The sequence below is a fragment of the Homo sapiens genome, chromosome 20 (genome assembly GCF_000001405.40).
Source record: "Homo sapiens chromosome 20, GRCh38.p14 Primary Assembly".
Classification (NCBI taxonomy): Eukaryota; Metazoa; Chordata; class Mammalia; order Primates; family Hominidae; genus Homo; species Homo sapiens.
In genome coordinates, this window is record NC_000020.11 from 31,457,558 (window position 1) to 31,475,266 (window position 17,709).

Sequence of the window (17,709 nt, forward strand, 5' to 3'; positions counted from 1 at the left end):
TAATCATCGGTATTAATTATTACAAATTCTAGGAGTCACATTTTAAAGGTTTAATATTAGAATGCAGGAACAATTACCCCTGCAGTCACTGTCCTGCTCATCTCAGTTCACTGTGGCCTCAACCTCCTGGGCTCAAGCAATCCTCCTACTTCAGCCTCCAAAGTAGCTGGGACCACAGGCATGTGCCACCATGCCTGGCTAATTTTTTTTTTTTTTAGTAGAGATGAGATCTCTTTATGTTGCCCAGGCTGGTCTTGAAGCGAAGGAGTTGCTATGCTAAATAGATGCTGTACTAAATAGATGCTATTTGCTGTACTAAATAGATGCTCAGTTTCAACATCCACTAACTTTTTCAGTCATGGAATAAAGTAACTCAAGAAAATGAATTTGGCCACATGTGGTGGCTCATGCCTATAACTGCAGCACTTTGGGAGGCTGAGGCAGGAGAGTCTCCTGAGCCCAGGAGTTCAAGACCAGCCTGGGCAACATAGGCAGACCTCATCTCTACCAAAAAAATAATAATAATTAAAAAATTACCCGGGCATGGTGGCACGTGCCTGTGGTCCCAGCTACTTGGGAGGCTGAAGTAGGAGGACTGCTTGAGCCCAGGAGGTTGAGGCTGCAGTGAACAGAGATCACATCACTGCACTCCAGCTGCCTGGACAACAGAATGAGGCCCTGTCTCAGAAAAAGAAAAAAAAAGGAAACAAAAAACGAATTTCATATTCCCAATACAAAGAAATAATAAAGGTGATGAATATGCTAAATACCCTTATTTGACCATTACACATTGTATGTATGTATCAAGATATCATATGTACCCCATAAATATGTATAAATATTATATTTTTTTCATTTTTAATAAAAATTTTAAAATTGCCAGGCATGGTAGTGTGCACCTATAATTCAAGCTACTTGGGAGACTGAGGCAAGAAGACCACTTGAGCTCAGGAGTTCAAGTCCAGCCTGGGCAACATCTCAAGATCCCATCTCTAAAAATGAATAAATTAATTAAATTCAAAATTAAAAGACAAAAATAAATAACGAAAAATTTAAAAATAAAAATAATTTAAAAGAAAATTAATTTCAGAAACATACTTCCTAAAAAGAACTTTTGAATTTAGAAAGAAATTCAGAATTTGCAGCTTGAAAAAATGTCAAAAATATTCTACCTTCAACTACTGAAACCGGGTGGTAGTTTATAGCAAAAAATTTGGCAAACTTTATTGTTTAATTTTTTAGCCTTCATAAAATTTGTGATTTTGAAAATCAGTGAGAATAAAATATGCCTAAGGTACCTCACTTTTCCCTAACGCTTTCCTCTGTTCTTCATTGTCTTTATACCCAACAGTATGTATAAATTGAAGGTGACTTATCATCGATGTCATGGTACATGATTTTGGAGTCTTTCCTACCTGTGAAATTTTGAGGTGACAAAATCGCATTTAGCTTTTTATTCATCCTTACAAGGTGTGAGAAATTCTCAACCACAATTTTTTCCTAAAAGGCTTATGTCCTAAATGGAATTAAATAACTAAAGAACAACTAAAGGCAAGTACTTTTTTTTTTTTTGAGACAGGGTCTCACTTTTTCACACAGGCTGGAGTGCAGTGGCACCATCTCAGTTCACAGCAGTGTCAACCTCCCAAGCTCAAACGATCTTCCCACCTCAGCCTCCCAAGTAGCTGGCACTACAGGTGCACACCACCTCGCCTGACTAAGTTTCGTATTTTTTGTAGAGACAGGGTTTCACCATGTTGCCTAGGCTGGGCAATCCACCCACCTTGGCCTCCCAAAGTGCTGGGATTACAGGTGTGAGCCACCACATCTGGCCTCTAATAGTTTTTTTTTAATGTGATGAATGGTATTTTAACAAAGATTGAACTATAATATAATCTCCATTATTTTGCCTAGTGCTAATATTCAAAATATTAAAAATATTGATTGGATATAACATTCTGAAGGTTATCAAGCTAACAAATTTTAGCTCTCAATATTTAAATTAACTCATATTTTCTCCTAAGTTGAATTGTCGAAAGTTCTTAATTATTTTTCTAACATTGATAGCTTTCACAATCATCTTTAACTGTTGCAACATTTTATTCCTACAGTAATAAATATATACTTCTATCTCAAATGACTAATGAATTTAAACATGTAAAGTGCATGAGATTTCATTCCAAGTTACATCTAAAGTGTTTACTATGTGAAAATGAATATTCATATGTAAACAATAAATCCAAATGCTATGTTCCAAAGGTATTATGCTTATTGGACATGCTGGTTTACCGTGCAATTATGAAATCATTGAACACACACAAGTTCACGGTGCCACAAGTGACTCTGAAGTAGGTATCTGGCAATTCATCCTTCCAAAGGGTGAAGCTAAGGCTGGATACTGAGAACAAAGTCAAAATTGGGTTTATTCCTAGAATGTAAGCTCCATACAGGTAGGGATTTGTCTGCTTTGCCCACTGCTGAGTCCTCCATACTTAGAATAATGCCCGGCACATAAAAGGTATTCAATAAATATAAATTGAATTAATGAAAAACAGAAAAATAGAATGCTGATGCTAGTGGCGCGTAGGTGAAAATCATCAAGTTGATTTTCAGTTGAGACAACGATGGAAATCATTAGGCATGCCCAAATCAGGGAGATCTTAGTTTCAGCCAAGGGCTCACTGGACTTAAGCCAGTCTACTGGGTTCAAATTAGGAGGAAAGGAGCAAAATTAACGAACACGTACAAAATGTTGGAGATATATCATTAAAAATTGTGTCTTGGCCGGGCGCGGTGGCTCAGGCCTGTAATCCCAGCACTTTGGGAGGCCGAGGGGGGCGGATCACTTGACCCCAGGAGTTTGAGACCAGCATGACCAACACGGTGAAACCCCGTCTCTACTAAAAAAAAAAAAAAACCCAGGCGTGGTGGCTCACGCCTTTAATCCCAGCTACTCGGGAGGCTGAGGCAGGAGAATGCCTTGAACCCGGGAGGCGGAGCTTGCACTCAGCCGAGATTGTGCCACTGCACTCCAGCCCGGGCGGCAGAGCGAGACTCCGTCTCAAAAAAAAAAAAAAAAAAACCAGCAAATTCCAAAAATAACCGCTAGAGGGGAGTATCTCCTCTTGTGAGTCATTGATCTAGCCATTAAGAGAGTCATGAAAACATCATGCTTGTCTCCTGGATCACCCAGCTCTTTATGACACAAATGGAGCTACATCATAAGCACAGATAGTTTACCCAGACTCAACTACATGTGCTCAGAAAAAAAGGAATTTAAAGGAAATAAGACTTGGGATGGGTTTTTTTCTTTTTTTCTTACTTTTTAAATCAACTTTGTTTTGCCTTTCTGAAAAATCATATAAATGAAATTACTCAGCATGTATTTCTTTGTGTCTGGCTTCTTTCACTTAACATAGTGTTTTTGAAATTAATTTATGGTTGTGTGTATTGGTAAATTATTGCTATTTATTGAGTAGCATATTGCATGGATATAACTCAACTTGTCCATTTGCCTGCTGAACATTTGGGCTGTTTTCATTTATGGGTTACTACAAATAAAGTTGCTACAAACATGGATAGAGAAATCTTTGTATAGACATATGTCTATTTAATTTTGTTCGTTTGTTTGTTTGTTTGTTTGTTTGTTTGAGACGGAGTCTCACTCTGTCACCCAGGCTGGAGTGCAGTGGTGCCATCTTGACTCACTGCAACCTCCACCTCCTGGGTTCAAGCAAATTCTCCAGCCTCGGCCTCCCAAGTAGCTGGAATTAGAGGCACACACCACCACACCCAGCTAATTTTTGTATTGTTTTAGTAGAGACGGGGTTTCGCCATGTTGGCCAGACTGGTCTCAAACACCTGACCTCAAGTGATCTGCCCGTGTCTGCCCCCAGAGTGCTGGGATTACAGGCATGAGCCACAGTGCCCAGCCAACATGTCTATTTAATTTTGTAAGTAACTCTGCACCTGTTTTTCCAGTTGCAGAGTAGTTGTCCATGTTACAGTCCCACCAGCAATGTATCAGCATTCCAGTGCTCCATATCCTCACCAGCCTTGCTATAGTCAGTCTTTTTACTTTAATTATTCTGGTGAGTATGTATGGTATCTCATTGTGATCTTAATTTGAATTCTCCTGATTACTAATGATATTGAACATCTTTTCACGAACTTATTGGCCACTTATGTATTTTCATTTGTAAAATGTCATTTAAATATTTGCCCATTCTGTTATTGAGTTTTCTCTTTTCTTATTAATTTGTAACAGTTATTTGTATATTGTGGATATGAGTCTTTTGTCAGATATATGTTTTGCAAATATGTGCAATAAGAATCCGAATAAGCCAGAAAAATCCCTCCTTGAGCCAGTGCCTGAATGAGTGGGAGATGGGAATTGGATTATTTCCTGGGCAGGGAAAGCTTCTGGCAGTGAAGACATCACATTGCATTGTGTGATTCCACTGTGGAAAGATACTTATTTTTCACCAAAAAAAATGGTGCCTAAACATAACCAACCACTTCCTTTAATGCACGGCCAGAGAAATGTGATATGTTCCATCAGTGGAGGAAAACTTGCTGTGTATGTCAGTCTCCAAAAAGGTGCCTTCCTGAGCAGTTTTCAAGGATAATTTAAGTCATGTGCAATTGTCACCTGGCTCTCAGATTTAAACCTAGCCCTAGCATAATAATAAGCAATTCCACTGAACACTCTGCCATTGAAAGAAGGGAGTGGGGATAGAAGTCAGACACCCAGTTCTACCCTGAACTACCTACAGTATCCATCCATTGTTGTAACTTCCTTGTTCTTCTCCTTCCCTGTGACCCCAAAGGTGTCCACCTGATCAGCAGGAGAAGCCCTTCTCATAGAAGAGTCTCTGATGCGTGTGAAAATGCCTTAAATATATATATATATATAAGAATATATATATACCAAAATACCAACAGGAATTATGAAAGACAGGTGAATATTTTGAGGCTTATCTATACTATACTTTCTTAGTTTTTGACACTGTATTTTATTTATTTATTTATTTATTTTTTTTTTTTTTTTTTTTTTTTTTTTGAGATGGAGTCTCACTCTGTCACCCAGGCTGGAGTGCAGTGGCACAATCTTGGCTCACTGCAACCTCCACCTCCCAGGTTCAAGCGATTCTCCTGCCTCAGCCTCCTAAGTAGCTGGGATTACAAGCGTGCACCACCATGACCGGCTATTTTCGTATTTTCAGTAGAGACATGGTTTCACCATGTTGGCCAGGCTGGTCTTGAACTCCTGACCTCAGGCGATCCACCCACCTCAGCCTCCTAAAGTGCTGGGATTACAGACATGAGCCACCGCGCCTGGCCTCCATACGTATTTTAAACATACTACTCAAGTTATAAAAACTAGAAGTGACTTAAAATTTTTCAGGAGGAATTTTAGTGCTAAAAATATTGTTTTGGAAGGCTAAGCACATACATAAATTTTTATGATATATTGATCAGTTAAAAAACCAGGACACAAAATATCTACAGCTTGATTCCATTTTATTTTTGTCACATTTTACATTTTTCTTTATTTCTGGGTATTTCTTTTTTTTTTTTTTTTTTTTTTTTTTTTTTGAGACAGAGTCTTGCTCTGTTGCCCAGGCTGGAGTGCAGTGGTGTGATCTCGGCTCACTGCAACCTCCACCTCCCGGGTTCAAGTGATTCTCCTGCCTCAGCCTCCCGAGTAGCTGGGATTACAGGCGTGCGCCACCATGCTGGCTAATTTTTGTATTTTTAGTAGAGGTGGGGTTTCGCCATGTTGGCCAGGCTGGTCTTGAACTCCTGACCTCAAGTGAGCCTCTTGCCTCGGCCTCCCAAAGTGCGGGGATTATAGAAGTGAGCCACCACAGCCGGCCTATTTCTGGGTATTTCTGTACAGTGAAAATACTAATGATTTTAGTTTTCTTATTTGTGCTTCTCTGCTTACATGTTTTCCAATGAACATGTATTACTTTTACAATTAGAAAAAAAATGTTATTTTTAAAGTACAAATAAGAATGACTCTGGAGTCTGGCACAGTGGCTCATGCCTGTAATCCCAACATTTTGGGAGGCCGAGGCAGGAGGATTGCTTGAGGCCAGGAGTTCAAGACCAGCCTGGGCAACATAGCAAGACTTTGTGTCTACAAAAAATATAAAAATTAGCCAGGCATGGTGGTGCACGCCTACAGTCCCAGCTACTGGGAAGGCTGAGGTGGGAGGACTGCTTGAGCCCGGGAGTTCAGAGCTGCAGTGAGCCATGATTGCACCACTGCATTCCAGCCTGGGCAACAGAGCAAGACTGTCTCCAAAAAAAGACTGACTCTGGGAGACAAAATCAGGTGGCAGAGGATCAGGATAGAGTTCCAGCTCCACCACTTCCTAGGTTTATGACCTGGGCAACTTTCTTAGTTGCCTTATAGAGTCTTAGTTACCTTATAGAAAAGGCAAAGATAGGCCAGCTGTGGCAGCTCACACCTGTGATCCCAGCAACTTGGGAGGCCAAGGCAGGAGGATCACTTGAGCCCAGAAGTTCAGCCTGGGAAACATAGCAAGACCCCGTGTTTTTTGTTTGTTTGTTTTTTGTTTTTTGTTTTTGTTTTTAGCAAGACCCCATCTCTACAAAACAAACAAACAAATCAAAAACATATTAGCCAGGTATGGCAGCATACACTTATAGTCCTAGTTCCTCGGAGGCTGAGGCAGATTGCTTGAGCCCAGTAGTGTGAGGCTGCAGTGAGCTATACGATCTCCACTGTGTTCCAGCCTGGGCAACAGAGTGAGGACCTGTGTTAAAAAAGAAATGAGGAGAGAGAGAGGGAGGGAGGGAGGGAGGGAGGGAGGAAGGAAGGAATGAAGGAAGGAAGGAAGGAAGGAAGGAAAGAAGGAAGGAGATAATAATATGTAACTGTGGGAATTCAATGAGGTGGTATGAATAAAGCAATTGGTACTTTCTAAAGGATACTTATATATCATCATCTCAACCATTCAATGATTGGTTTGGCTTGAGTAGAACCTGTCCTCCGAAAAAGCACTTCTGAGCACCTATCCAGGTAACTTCCTTCTCTAGCATCCCAGAGCCACCAGGCTCACCTTGCACATCTCCAGTGTCAGGGGACTCCCTTCCTCCCAAAATTTCCCCATCACACTGTCCTGTCCTACCAGCGTGTGGCTCCATTCCTTGACATGTCACTCGGGAACTGTATGGCCTTCAACAAGTCACTTTCCCTCTCTGGGCTTGCGGGCCTCATCTGTGAGGTATTTTGGGGACTCTTCCACCCTAGAATCGGCTGGTCTCTTCGGCTTGTTGGGTGTATCCTAATGACTTAGGAAGTTGGATGTATGCTTAGATGAGGGTCTGTTTGAACACTGGGAGGAAAATGGCAGTTCATGTGTGAAAATGGCGGTTTAATTTTCAGAAAAGTATCTAGTCTGTTGGTCTTGGCTTCAGCCCTAAGTCATTAGGATACCCTATAAAGGAACATAGGAAAACCCTTTCACGCTCAGTGGGGCCTGCCTCTCAAGCCAAATGTGCCGTCTCATTCTGAATTCCAGAAGCTTATTATTGACTCTACTATAATTATTCACTGTTATTATCAACTATATGATTAACTCTTGTTATTATTAACTCTACCTTTCTTCTTGCATTTCTTCTATAAAGTGCTAATCTCCTGATATTATAATTATTCCCATTTTATGGTTGAGGAGACTTTCAGAGGTTCAGTAATTTTTCCGGAGTTGGACAGAGAAAGTGACATGGCCAGGACTGGAACCATTTACAATGGTCATTAGCGCCCACTCTCCTCAGGTCCCTCACCTCCCTCCACAGACCATTTCTCCCACATCCTAGACCTATCCCCCACCCGTGGTGGGGAGAGGAGCACAGGCGAGCAGGCAGAAAGAAGAGACAACTGGCAACCTGTGTTTTATTGGACAGCAGGAACCAGCTACTCATATTCATGCTTGGGGACCGGTGGAGGTTTCAATGCATAGGAGAGACAGCACAGGGACGCATCCGGGCACAGGTGCATGTAAGTTTCTTGCCTTGTGCAGTAAGTTTGGCAGGCCCCTTGACCCTTCCAGCACCGTTTGAATTCACTTCTCCCTAAACAGAGGAAAACCACAGGTCACAGAGCAGCCCATGGGTCACACGTTAGACCACTGGTCACAAGTTAGGCCACAGATTCACTAACACTGGTCACAAGTTAGCTCTCTGGTCTTCTGTTAGATCACTAGTCACAGATGAGAGTACTGATTACAAGTTAGGTTAGACCACATGTCATAGGTTAGACCATTAGTTACAAATTAGAGACTAAGGCCAGGCGCGGTGGCTCACGCCTGTAATCCCAGCACTTTGGGAGGCTGAGGCAGGCAGATCACCTGAGGTCAGGAGTTTGAGACCAGCCTGGCCAACATGACAAAACCCTTTCTCTACCAAAAATACAAAAATTAGCCGGGTGTGGTGGCAGGTGCCTTTAATCCCAGCTACACGGGAGACTGAGGCAGGAGAATCACTTGAACCCAGAGGGAGGAGATTGCAGTGAGCTGAGATTGTGCCACTGCACTCCAGACTGGGCAACAGAGGGAGACTCCATCTCAAATAAATAAACAGAAACTGATTTCTTGTCCAGGTAAAGCCACACACCAGGTACACATAAGCACTTTTCATAACAGTGCTATACGATTATAGTTAGTCTTATTACAATCCCTGCTATACAGGTAAGGAAACTGAGGCTCAGTGAGGTTAATAACCTTATCCAGCTGGGCACAGTGGCTCACGCCTGTAATCTCAGCACTTTGGGAGGCTGAGGCGGGTGGATCACCTGGGGTCAGGAGTTCGAGACCAGCCTGGCCAACATGGCAAAACCCCATCTCTACTAGAAATATAAAAATTAGCCGGGCCTGGTGGCGGGCACCTGTAATCCCAGCCACTCGGGGGGCTGAGACAGAAGAATCGCTTGAACCCGGAAGGCGGAGGCTGCAGTGAGCCAAGTTCGTGCCACTGCACTGCAGCCTTGGCGACAAACTAAGACTCCATCTCAAAAAGAATATATATATATATATAAAACCTTATCCGAGGTCATACCACCATTGAGGAGCAGAATTTGGACTCAAACCCAAGCAATCTGGCTTCAGAGTCCACACCCATTACATAAACTGCCCCTGACACATAGGGACTTGTTTAATGTTAGGTTTTAGTGAAGGAATTTCCAAACATGGGCAATGGAAAAGGCAAGGCTTTGGGGCAACAGGTCCTTTGCTCCCTCCAAGGGTCTTTGGTCACAACATGGGATGGAGCCTGTCCTTCATTTATTCACTCAATAAACACGGAGCACTAGAAGTAGTACAATGAACAATACAGCCATGGTCCCTGCCCTCAAGGAGCTTCCAGCGTCAAGGAAGACAGTTAAAAAACAAGCATATAAATACAAGAAATAGATTCTGTGGTAACTGCCACACTGGAAATGATGAGGGTACTGTGATGGCCAGTTAGAATGCATGTGGGAAGTGAGGGGAGACTAGGACCACATAGACAAGTTTGACTGTTAAATGACATTTCTGGACATACAACCTCAGACTAGCAGAGAACAAGCAGGCCAGAAGAAATAGCACTGAGTGGGAGGTGGAGGGGAAAGGCTTCCCTGCATCTCTCTGGATTAAAACACATCCCATGTAATCCTCAAATGATGCCTTAGGCATATCCACAGGTTTTATTCAACCCTGCCGAGCAGTCCACACTTCCCTCTTACTAAGGTAGAGAATCTTAGAATGATACAGTGCTGGCCTCAAAATCTCCATGAGGCAAAGAATCCACCCTCTGAAGACGGTGTGTAGTATAATCGTTAACAGTGTGGTGTGAACCCAGCTCAGACCTCCTGGGTCCAAATCCCAGCTCAGTCATTTCCCATTGAGTGACCTTGGCCTCAGTTCCTCATCTGTACAACTCTCCTTCAGAGCACAGTTAAAGGATCACTTTAGCACAGTGCCTGGCACGTAGTAAATGCTCAATAAATAGGAGGCAAGATTATCAGCATGACAGCTTAGATTGCTGGAACAACCAGGACCCATTCTAGGTAAATCCTCTCACTCACCAGTAAAGAGAGGAATGAACTTGCCCAAGCTCCCATAGCCACTAAGTGGTGGGTCTGGAACCGGAACCCGAGACCCTAGCTCCCAGGTGAGGACACTTTCTATAATAATTTTTTTTTTTTGAGACAGGATCTCACTTTGTTGCCCAGGCTGGAGTGCAGTAGTGTAATCTCGGCTCAATGTAGCCTCTAATTCCTAGGCTCAAGCAATCCTTCCACCTCAGCCTCCTAAATAGCTAGGACTACAGGTGCACACCACTATACCCAACTAATCTTTTTGTTTTTTGTAGAGATGGGGTCTCCCTATGTTGCCCATGCTGGTCTCGAAGTCCTGGGCTCAAGTGATCCTCTTGCCTTGGCCTCCCAAAGTGCTAGGATTTACAGGTATGAACCACCACACCCAGCCAAGAAATACTCTTAGCACATGACCGCATTTGAACTTCCCAATCACTCCAATATCCAGCAGCAGTTCCTTTCTCCTGCATGATCTGCACTCTCTTCCTCATATCTTTGACTCTGTCTCCCACCAATTTCCTTTGTGCTCCCCCCGCTAGCCACACCAACCTCCTTGCTGCTGTTCAAACCCATCCATCACCCTGCCTCAGGGCCTTGGCCCTTGATGCTCCCTCTACCTGGAACGATCTTTCCTCGTATTTTCACCTTATTCAGACCTCTATTCAAACCCACTTTATATAAAATAAGATCGCTGGAATTTACTTCAAAATAATTCACGGGAATGGAGAGGGAAGTGAATAACAAAACAGGATTGGTTCAAATTGGTAATTGTTGAGGTTGAGTGATGGGTAATAAGGGCTCTTTTTATTTTCTTTTTCTATTTTTTTTTTTTAAGACAGAGTCTCACTCTGTTGCCAGGCTGGAGAGCAGTGGCGCAATCACGGCTCACTGCAACCTCCGCCTCCCGGGTTCAACTGATTCTCCTGCCTCAGCCTCCCGAGTAGCTGGGATTACAGGCGCCCACCACCACGCCCAACTAATTTTTTGTATTTTTAGTAGAGATGGGGTTTCACCATGTTGGCCAGGATGGTCTCCATCTCTTGACCTCATGATCCACCCGCCTCGGCCTCCCAAAGTGCTGGGATTACAGGCGTGAGCCACCGCGCCCGGCCAGGGTTCTTTATACTATTTATTTCTTATTTCTGGTTGAAATTTTCCTAAATACCAAAGTTTCTGGCTGGGCTCATGCCTGTAATCCCAGCATTTTGGGAGGCCAAAGCTGGAGGATTGCTTGAGGCCAAGAGTTTGAGACTAGCCTGAGCAACATAGGGAGGCCCCATCTCTACAAAAATTTAAAAATCAAAGAAGTATCCTTTAAAAACTCATGCTGTTACAGTATTCTGTATTTCTGCATAAGTTTAAATTTTCCCATAATAAAAATGTTTAAAACTCACCTTATTTATTTATGTTATTCTCTCTACTTTCATGTATATGTGAAATTTTCCAAAATAAAAAGTTTTTAAAAAGAAAAAACTCTGGGCCGGGCATGGTGGCTCATGTCTGTAATCCTAGCAATTTGGGAGGCCGGGGTGGGTCAATCACCTGAGGTCAGGAGATCTAGACCAGCCTGACCAACATGGTGAAACCCCGTCTCCACTAAAAATACAAAAATTAGCCAGGCATGGTGGCACATGCCTGTAATCCCAGCTACTCGGGAGGCTGAGGCAGGAGAATCGCTTGAACCCGGGAGGCAGAGGTTGCAGTGAGCTGAGATCATGCCATTGCACGAGCAACAAGAATGAAACTCCATCTCAAAAAGTAGAAAAAGAAACAAATCTTTTTTTTTTTTAATTTTTATTTTTTTTATTGATCATTCTTGGGTGTTTCTCGCAGAGGGGGATTTGGCAGGGTCATAGGACAATAGTGGAGGGAAGGTCGGCAGATAAACAAGTGAACAAAGGTCTCTGGTTTTCCTAGGCAGAGGACCCTGCGGCCTTCAGCAGTGTTTGTGTCCCTGGGTACTTGAGATTAGGGAGTGGTGATGATTCTTAACGAGCATGCTGCCTTCAAGCATCTGTTTAACAAAGCACATCTTGCACCGCCCTTAATCCATTTAACCCTGAGTGGACACAGCACATGTTTCAGAGAGCACAGGGTTGGGGGTAAGGTCACCGATCGACAGGATCCCAAGGCAGAAGAATTTATCTTAGTACAGAACAAAATGAAAAGTCTCCCATGTCTATTTCTTTCTACACAGACACGGCAACCATCCGATTTCTCAATCTTTTCCCCACCTTTCCTCCCTTTCTATTCCACAAAACCGCCATTGTCATCCCGGCCCGTTCTCAATGAGCTGTTGGGTACACCTCCCAGACGGGGTGGTGGCCGGGCAGAGGGGCTCCTCACTTCCCAGTAGGGGCGGCCGGGCAGAGGCGCCCCTCACCTCCCGGACGGGGCGGCTGGACGGGCAGGGGGCTGACCCCCCCACCTCCCTCCCGGACGGAGCGGCTGGCCGGGCAGCGGGGCGCCTCACTTCCTAGTAGGGGCGGCCGGGCAGAGGTGCCCCTCACCTCCCGGACGGGGCGGCTGGCCGGGCGGGGGGCTGACCCCCCCACCTCCCTCCTGGACAAGGCGGCTGGCCGGGCGGGGGGCTGACCCCCCCACCTCCCTCCCGGACGGGGCGGCTGGCCGGGCAGAGGGGTTCCTCACTTCCCAGTAGGGGCGGCCGGGCAGAGGCGCCCCTCACCCCCCGGACGGGGTGGCTGGCCGGGCGGGGGGCTGACCCCCCCACCTCCCTCCCGGACGGGGCGGCTGGCCGGGCGGGGGGCTGAGCCCCCCACCTCCCTCCCGGACGGGGTGGCTGGCCTGGCAGAGGGGCTCCTCACTTCCCAGTAGGGGCGGCTGGGCAGAGGCGCCCCTCACTTCCCGGACGGGGCGGCTGGCCGGGCGGGGGGCTGACCCCACCTCCATCCCGGACGGGGCGGCTGGCCGGGCGGGGGGCTGACCCCCCCCCCCACCTCCCTCCCGGACAGGGCGGCTGGCCGGGCGGGGGGCTGAACCCCCCACCTCCCTCCCGGACAGGGCGGCTGGCTGGGCGGGGGGCTGACTCCCCCACCTCCCTCCCGGACGGGGTGGCTGGCCAGGCAGAGGGGCTCCTCACTTCCCAGTAGGGGCGGCTGGGCAGAGGCGCCCCTCACCTCCCGGACGGGGCGGCTGGCCGGGCGGGGTGCTGATCCCCCCACCTCCCTCCCGGACGGGGCGGCTGGCCGGGCGGGGGGCTGAGCCCCCCACCTCCCTCCCGGACGGGGTGGCTGGCCCGGCAGAGGGGCTCCTCACTTCCCAGTAGGGGCGGCTGGGCAGAAGCGCCCCTCACTTCCCGGACGGGGCGGCTGGCCGGGCAGGGGGCTGACCTCACCTCCCTCCCGGACGGGGCGGCTGGCCGGGCGGGGGGCTGACCCCCCCCACCTCCCTCCCGGACGTGGGGCTGACCCCCCCACCTCCCTCCTGGACAGGGCGGCTGGCCGGGCGGGGGGTTGACCCCCCCACCTCCCTCCCGGACGAGGCGGCTGGCTGGGCGGGGGGCTGACTCCCCCACCTCCCTCCCGGACGGGGTGGCTAGCCAGGCAGAGGGGCTCCTCGCTTCCCAGTAGGGGCGGCTGGGCAGAGGCGCCCCTCACCTCCCGGACGGGGCGGCTGGCCGGGCGGGGGGCTGACCCCCCCCACCTCCCTCCCGGACGGGGCGGCTGGCCGGGCGGGGGCTGACCCCCCCACCTCCCTCCCGGACGGGGCGGCTGGCCGGGCGGGGGGCTGACCCCCCCACCTCCCTCCCGGACGGGGCGGCTGGCCGGGCGGGGGACTGACCCCCCCCACCTCCCTCCCGGACGGGGGGCTGACCCCCCCACCTCCCTCCCGGACGGGGCGGCTGGCCGGGCAGGAGGCTGATCCCCCCACCTCCCTCCCGGACGGGGCGGCTGCCGGGCGGAGACGCTCCTCACTTCCCAGACGGGGTGGCTGCCGGGCAGAGGGGCTCCTCACTTCTCAGACGGGGCAGCTGCCGGGCGGAGGGGCTCCTCACTTCTCAGACGGGGCGGCTGGGCAGAGACGCTCCTCACCTCCCAGACGGGGTCGCAGCCTGGCAGAGGCGCTCCTCACATCCCAGACGGGGCGGCGGGGCAGAGGCGCTCCCCACATCTCAGACGATGGGCGGCCGGGCAGAGACGCTCCTCACTTCCCAGATGGGATGGCTGCCGGGAAGAGGCGCTCCTCACTTCCTAGACGGGATGGCGGCGGGGCAGAGACGCTCCTCACTTTCCAGACTGGGCAGCCAGGCAGAGGGGCTCCTCACGTCCCAGACGATGGGCGGCCAGGCAGAGACGCTCCTCACTTCCCAGACGGGGTGGCGGCCGGGCAGAGGCTGCAATCTCGGCACTTTGGGAGGCCAAGGCAGGCGGCTGGGAGATGGAGGTTGTAGCGAGCTGAGATCACGCCACTGCACTCCAGCCTGGGCACCATTGAGCACTGAGTGAACCAGACTCCGTCTGCAATCCCGGCACCTCGGGAGGCCGAGGCTGGCGGATCACTCGCGGTTAGGAGCTGGAGACCAGCCCGGCCAACACAGCGAAACCCCATCTCCACCAAAAAAGTACGAAAACCAGTCAGGCGTGGTGGCGCGCGCCTGCAATCGCAGGCACTGGGCAGGCTGAGGCAGGAGAATCAGGCGGGGAGGTTGCAGTGAGCCGAGATGGCAGCAGTACAGTCCAGCTTCGGCTCGGCATCAGAGGGAGACAGTGGAAAGAGAGGGAGAGGGAGACCGAGAGGGAGAGGGGAGAGGGGAGAAGGGAGAGGGGAGAGGGGAGAGGGGAGAGGGGAGAGGCAAAAGAAACAAATCTTATCAGAGACCTTCTCTGTCCATCCTCATCAGCCTTCCCATCCCCACCCCCTCCATGCACACACCACTCTAACCCCTTCCCTTGCCTTTCCTCTTCTCAGCACTTATCACCACCCAACATATGTTTATCCACTTATTTTCTATCTCCACCAACTAAAGTGTCAGCTGCATGAAAGCAAGGACCTTCTTTTCTTTCACTGCTACATGTCTTTCACTGTTATTATTTCACAACCATCATAACATAAATGAATATTTATTGAGAGAATCCCATTTTATAGATTAGGAAACTGAGGTACAGGCTGATTTAGCAACTTGCTCTAAGTTGCCCACCAAGTCAGTGGTGGGGCCAGAACTTAAATGCTGATAGAGGCCCCTCTGTCCTCCAGGACCTGAGAGTCTAGTCCTCATTTTTACAAGCACACATGTGCACACACACACACACACACATGCACACGATGTTGTTACCTGATGGCACATGACCCAGAACCAGGAGAGCCACAAGGAACAGAAGCAGCTGTGTCATGGCCACGGGGCTCCTGGGGAGGCTGCTGGAGAGAGCACAAGAGGAAAGACCCGAGCAGGCTGAGCCTCGCTGCTTCCAGCCCAGGCTTTATTGAGCTGCAGATGAAGGCAGTGCTGTGGGCAGCAGGCCTAAGTGGGAGTATGAGGCCATGTGGTCCCCAGGCTGCTTGGGATTTCAGCCAGCTACGTGGGAACTGGTCAGCCACACCCTCCGGAGCCTGTTGAGCTCGGAAGGGGAGGTAGAATTTTCTGAGGCAGTGTCTAGGGTCAGAAACTAGACATCTTCCCCACCTAAGAGAGTGGAAAAAATCTTGGCTTAAGAGAGACCTAGTTCAATCCCCCGCATCTCCCCCTAACTGCTGTGAGACATCAGACAAGTCACTTAACCTCTCTGAGCCTCAGGCTGTTGTCTATGAAATGATGACAAGCATCCCTTACAAGGCCAAGTGAACAGCATGTATGCAGGCCTACTCTAAAATGGGAAGAGTAATAGTACCCATGTCATAGAGAGTAATAGCTACCCATCTCATTTAGGGGACTAAATGAAGTAATACAGTGGCTCCTATACTATGGTTCCCCCAGCAAGCAGCAGCAACACCTGGGACTTGTTAGAAACACCAGTTCTTTAGCCCTACCCCAAACCTACTGAATTCACCTCTTCCTAAGCAGAAGAAGGCCACAGGTCACAGAGCAGCCCATGGGTCACAGGTTAAACCACTGGTTACAAGTTAGACCACAGATTCACTAACACTGGTCACAAGTTAGCTCTCTGGTCATTTGTTAGATCACTAGTCATAGATGAGAGTATGGGTGGGTCCCGGCAAAATGTGGCTTAACAAGCCCTCCAAGTGATTCTAACACACCGCCAAAGTTTGAGAACCCCTGAGATAATATCCGTGCAGAGCTTAGAACAGTGTCTGGTACACAGGAATCTAAGTTGCATCATGAAAGATGAGTAGGGGAAAAGGTATCCCGGGCAGAAAGAATAGAATGTGCCTAGAAGAGTAGGGCATGAGCCAAGCAAGGGTTTTCCTGGGAGGAGAGGTTGAAATGATTCTGCAGAGAATAGGTTGGGGCTTGAATGCCAAGTTCAGACTTTTGTATTATAGACAACCAAAAGTTTTTTAGCAAGAGTGTAAGCTGTTCATATTATAGTTTTAAATAAAGAAACTGAAACCCAAAGAGGGAAGTTGACTTGCCTAAGGTCACACAGCAATTGTGCTGCAGAGATGGAAAAGCCAAGTCACCTCACTCCCAGACAATGAAGGGTGCTGCACCACTCATGGCCCATCTTGCAAGTTAGAAAGGTAAGCTTAGAGGGCCAAGCCACGGAAGGAAGCCAGGCACGAGGGGGTTCTGTATCAGCTCCAAGACCTGTGGGGGCTGAGCCAGTCTGTTCAGCTGCTGTGGGAGTTATTCCAAGCTGAACACCTGAATCCCCTCAGCCATGACAATGAGCCCCACCCACAGGTGCAGCCTGGTCTCCATGGGCTCCACACACAGACACACCCCAATTTCTCAAGACCTAAAGGGAGGCAGCCCAGTCAAAGAGTCTGGATCCTGGCCCCTTGGATGGCCGACGTCACCAGCAATCTCTTTCCTCCTCCTCCATACCTGGGAGCATTTTTTTTTTCAGCCATCAGTAATAGAAACAGTAGACAGAGTGGCAGAGACCTCAGGCCCAGGCCCAGCTAAGCCTCAGTTGGTGAATGAATGAATGATGCCAAAATAAGATTTTCATAATTCTTCAGTGCAGACTTCCTGAGCTCTCTCTTCCTCCAAGCCACCTCCCAAAATTAATTCTTCATCCAGAGCAGAGTTTCTTAAAGTGAGGTCAGTGAACCGCCTGCATCAGGATCACTTGGGGCACTTGTTTAAAACGCAGATTCCCGAACCCCTCCCCCAGCACCGTGGAATCCGCCTCTCTTGGAAGGCGGGACCTGAAAATTTAGCAAGTTCCCCAAGTGGTTTTTCTGGGGGCTAATATGTTAGTGCATCCCCTTGATGGAGTGGACAGATGTGGACGCAGATGGAGCTCCAGACCCAGGAATCCAGAGCCCCCATCCTTCCTTTCTCGTCTGCCACCCTCACCCGGTGCGTAGGGCTGGCAGAAGCGGGTCAGCTGAGCTCTGCACTTTCAGAAAAGTCACTGAGCGGCCAGGGCCTTGGGGCGGGGACCCCGGGGCTGCCCTAATGGGGCGGGGCTGGATGGGGCGGGGTCGCGGCTCCTCCCCCGGCCGAGGCGGCGAGGGGA

General features: G+C 48.6%; 1 protein-coding gene across 1 annotated transcript, besides 1 other annotated feature; it reads right to left on the minus strand.

The window, feature by feature from the left end:
* Window positions 1-7,913: 7,913 nt before the first annotated feature.
* On the minus strand, window positions 7,914-17,570 carry DEFB124 (defensin beta 124). The gene is made up of 3 exons (NM_001037500.2): window positions 17,070-17,570; window positions 15,399-15,481; window positions 7,914-8,106 (listed from the first exon to the last, which is right to left on the minus strand). Exons 2-3 carry the CDS (start codon window positions 15,454-15,456, stop codon window positions 7,949-7,951), a joined length of 216 nt encoding a protein of 71 aa, NP_001032589.1. The 5' UTR covers window positions 15,457-15,481; window positions 17,070-17,570; the 3' UTR covers window positions 7,914-7,948.
* Window positions 17,623-17,682: a silencer, noted in NCBI's record as "silent region_12756". NCBI's record gives its function as "represses an Ori minimal core promoter by ATAC-STARR-seq in GM12878 lymphoblastoid cells {active_cell/tissue: GM12878}" and the evidence as "EXISTENCE:reporter gene assay evidence [ECO:0000049][PMID:35858748]".